Source organism: Homo sapiens, chromosome 2 (assembly GCF_000001405.40).
Source record: "Homo sapiens chromosome 2, GRCh38.p14 Primary Assembly".
In the NCBI taxonomy this organism is placed as follows: domain Eukaryota; kingdom Metazoa; phylum Chordata; class Mammalia; order Primates; family Hominidae; genus Homo; species Homo sapiens.
Window position 1 is genome coordinate 7,171,548 of NC_000002.12, and position 7,197 is coordinate 7,178,744.

The following is a 7,197-nucleotide window of genomic DNA, read 5'->3' on the forward strand; positions in this document are numbered from 1 at the left end:
TATCCTGGAACCTAAACATTTAGAGTCACCTGGGTGTTCAGGAAAAGAGCTTGTGGGTTCATGTGTAGTAGCTCAGTACTCACCACACTCTTTGGTAAAAAAGAAACCTTCCGTTCCATTTTCCCTCCAAGGAACCATTTTGATCCAAGCAAGATATCAAATGAGAGGAAGAGACTGGATGACTTTTAGGTTCCTTCCAAAATAAATTATATAAAGTTAAATCCCTCCACCTAATTTGGCTTCTGTGATTTGAAAATGCACAGAATGTGACTAGGGCCCAGTTTTCACCTGGGCTCTGGTCTCATTGGCATTGTTTCTGGAAGCTTGGATATGACCAGTGACCTTAGAGGAGAGGGGAAGAGACACAGACACAGGCAGAAGGTCATGTGAAGAAGAGGCAGAGATGGGAGTCATGGATGCACAAGCCAAGGAATGAAAGAAATTGCTGGCAACCAAAGCAGCTAGAAGAGGCAAGGAATAATTTTCTCCTAGAATCCACAAAGAGACCACAGCCCTGCTGACACCTCGACTTCAGACCTCTAGCCTCCAGAACTAAGAGACAATAAAATGGTGAGGTTTTCAGCCACCTGGCTTGTAGTACTTTGTTAGGACAGTTCTAGAAAATAAGCATAGTATCCAAAACCAAACTTCTGATTCTCTCACGCCTCAACTTGCCATTTGTAGCGTCTTCGTTTTACAGGTAGTGATAATCCCCTTCTTCTGGTTCCTTTGGCCAGAAACCACCTCACTGGCCACCTGGATTATTGTAGCAATTGTCACTTGGTTTTATTTTATCCTCACCTTCCCCGACTCACCACAGGTTATTCTCCAAAGACAGGTTCCTTGCATGGCTTGCTCCGGACTGGCTTCAAGTCTTTCTGTAAATGCCACCTTTTCAATGAAGATTCCTAGCCCAGGCAGGTAACATCACCTCTCTTCTTTCTCACTCTACTCATCCCCTCCCTGGCTTATTTCCTCTATGGCAAATATCATGAAGAAATACATTACACATTCCACCTATTTATTTATTCTTTTTCTTCCCTGCCTGTTGGCACAAGAATACAAGCTCTCTGAAAATACAAAGGTAGAGGTTTTGGGTTGTTTTTTTTTGCTCTGTCCCCCGTAGGAAGGTCAATGCCTGGCATATGGGTACTCTATTAATATTTGTTAAATAAATGAATGCATGGCTTTGGCCAGTTTTCAGATACATTGTGTTGATTCATTGTTTCCCTCTTTATTAGTCTTCATCCTTTTTCATTCTAATGAAGACAGAGCTCATTGACAAACCCCTGTGTTCTTCTCACCTGTATGAAATCTAGGCTGGGGAGCAAGCTCCTGGGAAACCAGGATCCACGGTGGAGGGATTGAACTTGATATCATTTCTTTTGATATGAACCTAAAAATCATCCAGTCTCTTCCTCTCATTTGATAACTTGCTTGGACCAACATGGTTCTTTGGAGGGAAAATAGAAAGGAAGGTTTCTTTTTTACCAAAAAATGTGGTGAGTACTGAGCTACACATGAACCCACAAGCTCTTTTCCTGAACACCCAGGTGACTCTAAATGTTTAGGTGCCAGGATATTAAGGACCAGTTTGGATCCCACATCCTTCCTACCTTGATATTTTTTAATGGAACTGTTTTTCACCTGGGCTCTAGTCTCATTGGTGTTGTTTCTTGAAGCTTTTTTTTATTTTCCCTACATTATATGTTGTCAGAAACTTACCTTACTCCTCTATAAGACTCTTGAGACAAGGTGGTATGACATCTTAATTTCTCATTGTATTCCTTAGCTGGTAATTTCTCTTTTAGTTTTATTTTTTACATGTTTTAATTAACAAAATTGTGTATATTTATGGAGTACAACATAATGTTTTGAAATATGTTGTTTACATTGTGGAAGGGTGACTCAAGCTAATTAAGGTATGTATTACCTGACACATTTATCATTTATTTGTGATGAGAACACTTAAAATATACTCTCTTAGCAATTTTCAAATATACAACACAATTGTTATTAATGGTCACCATGTTGCACAATAGATCTCTTGCTTAGCTAGGAAATTTAAGTAGTGGGTCTCAGGGAGTGGCTGTTGAAATAAATATTATTTCTGTTGCCATAAAGCTGTGTCCTCTAGTGAATGCAAATCAAAAAACAAAAATTAGGCAGGTAGTTAATAATTTGTCATATTATCTCCTCGAGGAAGCCCTCCCTCCTTATCCCAAACTCAAGTGTGGAGAGTGTAGTGAGCAGGACAAAAATAGGATGAGATTCTACCTTGAGTGGTAGAATCTTTACTGTGTTACCTCATCCAATGCTACCCCAAAAATCTGGTTAATTGTCTCCATGTGTCTTATGAAGAAACCAATAATTCTAAAGGCTGAATAACTCACCAAAGTTCTCAAAGCTTCCAGGGGCAGCAGTAGGATGTGAAGCCAAGTCTGTGTGGCACAAAACCCTTTTATTTCTGTGTTTATTTGCAGAATGTAACATTTCAAGTGAAGATGCATAAAAAAAGACACATATATTATTTTGTCCTGTAATGCCATCCTGCCTTTTGTCCTGAGAAACTTGCATATTTTAAAATAAACAATCTTCCAGGGATCCTAGGGCCTTGGCTTCTCCAATCTCCCTGTTTCCATTACTTCTTACACAGGGAGCATGTCTGGGAACTACGTAGGCCTGAATGTTTTCAAACTGATGTTATTCTGAAAAGCAAGCCAGGGTCATATTTACAAAGCATTATATTTTCACTTAGTAGCCACAGTATTATTGTGAAATATACCAGTAAATGACATTTGTAGTCTCCTATCAAGAAAATGAGAGAATATAACCTAATGGGCAGGCAAATCCAAGGCCTGAAGGATGGGCCTGACATTCTGAGCCTGGGCTGAGGTCCTAGACACTTATCAAATTAACAGCCAGATATATGCTGACCCAAAGTTCAGAGAAACAAGAAGCATGAAATATGTGTGCAATGGTAAATTTTATGTGTCCATTTGACTGGGCTAAGGGATACCCAGATAGCTGGTGAACATTATTTCTGGGTGTGTCCATGAGGGAGTTTCTGGAAGAGCCTAGCGTTTGTTTCAGTGGACTGGGTAAGGATCAGCCCTCACCAATGTGGGCAGGCATCATCTAATCCTTTGAGAGCCCTGAAAGAAAAAAGGATATAGAAAGGGCAAATTCCCTACTCTCTCTCTCCTGAGCTGGAACATCCATTTTCTCCTGCCATTGGACATTGGAGCTCTTGGTTTTTTGTTTGTTTGTTTGTTTGTTTTTGTACTTTGGACTGGGACTGAATTTCACCACCATTTTTTATGGATCTCCACCTTGCAGAGGGTTATCATGGGACTTCTCCATGTCCATAATTATGTGAGCCAATTCCCATAATAAATAACCTCTAGTGTCTATCATCTAATCTATCTATCTATCTATCTATCTATCTATCTATCTATCTATCTCTCATCTACCTATCATCTACCTACCATCTATCTATCTATCATCTATCTATGTCTCATCTACCTATCATCTACCGACTATCTATCTATCTATCTATCTATCTATCTATCTATCTATCTATCTATGGAAAACCTAGACTAATAAAATGTGGATTTTTAAAATGATTCTGAGAGGAGGGCTTGCTCTAAGGAAGAGTATAAACATAAATGCTGGCTAGTGGAAATGTTTGGTTATTGATAAAACTTGCATTTTATTGGCATATCCAGGGACTTATTGGACCATTCAAGATAGAGTTAACAAATTGAATCAAAGGCCTGGAGCTATTGGGAAAACAAAACAAAACTGTGCTTCTGGACTGAAGAACAGGAATGATTGACCCACGGTAGATTTGTCTCATCCAAAGCCTATTGTGTTTTCTGTGTTCTCTTCCCAACTTCCCCATGACTTCCCAACAGATTATTACATGCCATTTATACTTTCTTTTCCTACAATTAGAAAACAGTGACGCTTGGACCCAAATGACCTTTAGGCCATGGATTCCAGAGCATTTGGACATGTTTGCTTTGCTAGAAAGTGCATCAAATACGGTTTTTAAAATATGAAATCTGAAAACAAAATCTTTGGGCTTCTTCACCATCATTCTGAAATTTAATATGTAGTTAGCAAAGCTGGCCAACAGGTAAGTTGATGTTCTTTGTAAAGCTCTGGACATGTCAAGCTATTTGAAGGGGAACCTCACTGTTAATGTATTATGCAGCTAGACTTACAGCTTTCCTTTGCTTAATTAAAGATTTTTTGGGGAGATAAAAAACACTCATTAAAAAGAAAGCAAGGACTAAAGGGTTTCCTAGACTTTTGTTGTACACGTCACCTCTGGGCAACTTTTGCTTGCTGTGTATTGCAAAGGTGTTGTATTCACATTTACACAACTGCATATCAAAGAGGGTCCCTTTTTTTCACCCATTGTTTCTGAGACGTGTCAAAACAATTTTGATATTAAAAATAATAAGGGGCTGGGTGCGGTGGCTCACGCCTGTAATCCCAGCACTTTGGGAGGCCGAGGCGGGCGGATCACGAGGTCAGGAGATCGAGACCATCCTGGTTAACATGGTGAAACCCCGTCTCTACTAAAGATATCTAGAAAACCCCATTGTCTCAGCCCAAAATCTCCTTAAGCTGATAAGCAACTTCAGCAAAGTCTCAGGATGCAAAATCAATGTACAAAAATCACAAGCATTCTTATACACTAATAACAAACAAACAGAGAGCCAAGTCATGAGTGAACTCCCATTCACAATTGCTTCAAAGAGAATAAAATACCTAGGAATCCAACTTACAAGGGACGTGAAGGACCTCTTCAAGGAGAACTACAAACCACTGCTCAATGAAATAAAAGAGGATACAAACAAATGGAAGAACATTCCATGCTCATGGGTAGGAAGAATCACTATCGTGAAAATGGCCATACTGCCCAAGGTAATTTATAGATTCAGTGCCATCCCCATCAAGCTACCAATGACTTTCTTCACAGAATTGGAAAAAAACTACTTTAAAGTTCATATGGAACCAAAAAAGAGCCCGCATCGCCAAGTCAATCCTAAGCCGAAAGAACGAAGCTGGAGGCATCACTCTACCTGACTTCAAACTATACTACAAGGCTACAGTAACCAAAACAGCATGGTACTGGTACCAAAACAGAGATATAGATCAATGGAACAGAACAGAGTCCTCAGAAATAACACTGCATATCTACAACTATCCGATCTTTGACAAACCTGAGAAAAGCAATGGGGAAAGGACTCCCTATTTAATAAATGGTGCTGGGAAAACTGGCTAGCCATATGTAGAAAGCTGAAACTGGATCCCTTCCTTACACCTTATACAAAAATTAATTCAAGATGGATTAAAGACTTAAATGTTAGACCTAAAACCATAAAAACCCTAGAAGAAAACCTAGGCATTACCATTCAGGACATAGGCATGGGCAAGGACTTCATGTCTAAAACACCAAAAGCAATGGCAACAAAAGCCAAAATTGACAAATGGGATCTAATTAAACTAAAGAGCTTCTGTACAGCAAAAGAAACTACCATCAGAGTGAACAAGCAACCTACAAAATGGGAGAAAATTTTTGCAACCTACTTATCTGACAAAGGGCTAATATCCAGAATCTACAATGAACTCAAACAAATTTACAAGAAAAAAAACAAACAACCCCATCAAAAAGTGGGCGAAGGACATGAACAGACACTTCTCAAAAGAAGACATTTATGCAGCCAAAAAACACATGAAAAAATGCTCACCATCACTGGCCATCAGAGAAATGCAAATCAAAACCATAATGAGATACCATCTCACACCAGTTAGAATGGCAATCATTAAAAAGTCAGGAAACAACAGGTGCTAGAGAGGATGTGGAGAAATAGAACACTTTTACACTGTTGGTGGAGCTGTAAACTAGTTCAACCATTGTGGAAGTCAGTGTGGCAATTCCTCAGGGATCTAGAACTAGAAATACCATTTGACCCAGCCATCCCATTACTGGGTATATACCCAAAGGACTATAAATCATGCTGCTGTAAAGACACATGCACACGTATGTTTATTGAGGCACTATTCACAATAGCAAAGACTTGGAACCAATCCAAATGTCCACCAATGATAGACTGGATTAAGAAAATGTGGCACATATACACCATGGAATACTATGCAGCCATAAAAAATGATGAGTTCATGTCCTTTGTAGGGACGTGGATGAAATTGGAAATCATCATTCTCAGTAAACTATGGCAAGGACAAAAAACCAAACACTGCATGTTCTCACTCATAGGTGGGAATTGAACAATGAGAACACGTGGACACAGGAAGGGGAACATCACACTCTGGGGACTGTCGTGGGATGGGGGGAGGGGGGAGGGATAGCATTAGGAGATATACCTAATGCTAAATGACGAGTTAATGGGTGCAGCACACCAGCATGGCACATGTATACATATGTAACTAACCTGCACATTGTGCGCTTGTACCCTAAATCTTAAAGTATAATAATAAAAATAAAATAAAATAAAATAAAGAAAGAGATACTGAACCGGCCACAGTGGCTTGTGTCTGTAATCCCAGCACTTTGGGAAGCTGAGGTGGGTGGATTACTTGAGGTCGGGAGTTCGAGACCAGCCTGGCCAGCGTGGTGAAACCCCGACTCTACTAAAAATAAATAAAAATAAATTGGCCGGGTGTGGTGGTGCGTGCCCGTAATCCCAGCCGCTTGGGAGGCTGAGGCAGGAGAATCGCTTGAGCCTGGGAGGTAGAGGTTGCAGTGAGTCAAGATCGTGCCGCTGTACTCCAGCCTGGGCGACAGAGAAAGACTCCATCTCAAAAAAAAAAAAAAAAAAAAAAAGAGTTACTTAGTAATTCACAGAAATTCCAGGGAGGCTGGAAAACCAGGCTTGAAGGCTAAGGCAGCCAGTGTGGGTACTGTCAGATAAAATACAGGATCCTCAGGCAAATCTCGATGTCATTTGGAACATACTTATTTGTTCTTAACCTGAAGTTCAAATTTAAATGGACATCTGGTATTTTTATTTGCAAAATCTGGCCACCCTAGCCAAGGTGGCTAATTGCCTAAATTATACTCTGAGATGATTCTAGGTGCTGATACCAGCGATGTTACCCAGCCCTGACTCTGAGCAGGAGATGCCCCCCCACCAGGTCTCTGCCAGCTCTGACTCTGAAAAC

At 40.1% G+C, this 7,197-nt stretch overlaps 1 annotated feature.

Moving 5' to 3' along the window:
- Window positions 6,507-6,673: a silencer, noted in NCBI's record as "fragment chr2:7318185-7318351 (GRCh37/hg19 assembly coordinates)". NCBI's record gives its function as "represses an EF-1alpha promoter that drives an FKBP-Casp9 reporter gene in an ReSE screen in K562 erythroleukemia cells {active_cell/tissue: K562}" and the evidence as "EXISTENCE:reporter gene assay evidence [ECO:0000049][PMID:32094911]".